The sequence below is a fragment of the Homo sapiens genome, chromosome 12 (assembly GCF_000001405.40).
Source record: "Homo sapiens chromosome 12, GRCh38.p14 Primary Assembly".
In the NCBI taxonomy this organism is placed as follows: Eukaryota; Metazoa; Chordata; class Mammalia; order Primates; family Hominidae; genus Homo; species Homo sapiens.
Window position 1 is genome coordinate 87605992 of NC_000012.12, and position 2211 is coordinate 87608202.

Below are 2211 nucleotides of genomic sequence, written 5' to 3' on the forward strand. Positions count from 1 at the left end.
ATTCTTCTACTGTATTGGTTTTCCAAGGCTGCTGTAGAAAAACTACCACAAATGCGTGGGTTAAAACAACAAAAATGTATCTTCTCACGATTCTGGAGGCCAGAAGTCTGAAGTCAGTTTCCCTTGTTAAAATTCAAGTATCTTGCTCCTTTTAGAGCCTCTAAGAGACTATCTGTCCCTTGTTATTTCCAGCTTTTGCTGACTGCTGAAATACTTTGGTGGCTGCACTACTGCAATTTCTGCTTCTGTCGTCACATAAACTTCTCCTTCGTATGGTCTTTATTTCCACTGTATTTTCAATGGCAGCAGCTACATAGTCATCCAGAGTCTAGCCTTCTGCAGGCACTTGACTCCTGAGAATTAAAAGTGATTATTTCAGTAACTATTTTGACACTAAATGCCATGGACATTCAATGTCCCACCTACCTCTGGCAAAGGGGATCATTAATGTCTTTTACTCTAATCAGATCAGAGAACCATTCCAGGATTATAGCCTTAAGGTTCTGAGTCCTTACAACCAATACATAAAATAGCTATCACTTAGGGCAACCAGAGTCCCTAACAATATTGTGAAAGTAAGTAGTTTGCTACAGGAATTATAACATACACAAATATAGGAGGAACTAAGGAAGTTCCAGAAGAGAGGGATGTTGGAGGATCAGAGTCATTAACCATGATACCTGAAGCAGGGGTCTTTCAGAGCAGATCTGAGCTTGCAGGAAAATCTCATGAACCATACAGTTATATCTGCATAGTAGCAAAAAGGATAATAGAGGGATAAGTAGTCATGCCGAAGTCCTTGGAAGTTGTTTTCTGTCTACAAAGTGCAATCAAGCCCTTGGTGATTAGCATAAGACCTCTGTTTGTTGCCAGGGCCTTTCCGTGGGAAGAAAAACTAAAAGCTGAAGTCTGCTGACACCATATGAGACAACCATAACCTTGTGAGACTAATGACTTCTGATTTAATTTCACCTTTCAAATACTGCACAAATTGTTTTCTTGGCTAACTGTAACCTACACCACACAGGAAAGAGGACTCTGATAAATATAACTCCTAGACATAGGCAAAAGAGGTGATCTGTTCACAAAACGGATTCTAACACACTAATCATATTAATAAGTAGGGCTTAAATTGTGGGAAAAAAACTAACAAAAAAATCTTTCACTTTGAAAGCAGGAATTGATAATAAATAGGCAATTAGGTAGTTGTTAATAAGATTGGTTCCATTGTTTTCTATCCATTTACTTCCATGCTCAGTAGAATGTGTAAAAAACAAAATAATCATTCAATTCTCTTTCCAAATTTGAAGATAAAACACACAAAGAGGTAGCAAAACAATGGGAATATGTGTAAGCTATAGCAAAATGAAATGAGAGTGGGATGATCTAAAGGGAATTCATACCTATTTTAATTGGAATTCTCAACCTCTTAAGTCTCATGCAACTTCCCATGACAATAATGTTTTCTGAGCTACCTCAATATGAGATGCCCTGGTGGATATACATTGTATTTGGGTCATAACTACTTGTTCTTCTATCTTTTTAACTGAGCCACAGCATAGAAGTGCTAAAAATTCTCATTATTTTCTTAATTATTTTCTTAAGTTGTTTTACAGTGATTCCTCAAAGGTGTTAACTCTGAGCAAAAGATACGTCGATCCTCATCTTTCTCATGAAACCATGCAAAAAGGAGCAAGATACATCTACCTTATCCAGTTCTATTTGCAATTTCAGCACTATTCCAAAATGTTCAACTGTCCCTACTCACAAGCTTGGGGAAGGGACTGTCTAGAAATTTGCCTTGTGGTGGCCTCTTGTACTATTTTACCTTCTAATTATTCTTGGTTCATGCCAGAACTTATCCTGTTAGCAAGGAGGAAGATGTAATGTGAACAGGTGGAAAATTTCAAATGGTAAGAACTGACTGTTTTGGGATACAGCAGCACCAGAGATAGCACTAATTTTATGCTTCCCAGTCTAATATTAGCTAAATATTATCATCTTGACAATATAAATTTGGAAGCAGGAGGCAAGTCTCTTTCCTGGTCTTCACTTTCTAAAATCAAGATGAATATCAACACTGTACATGCAGAAGACATGTTTCCAGTAGTTCTGTTTTCACCCTACCATCTTTCTTCTTTGATACTGCGTGCCTTCACTCCTGCCCCATGATTTTCTTGTCCATAGAAGGAGCCTAGCAAATGGAAATCT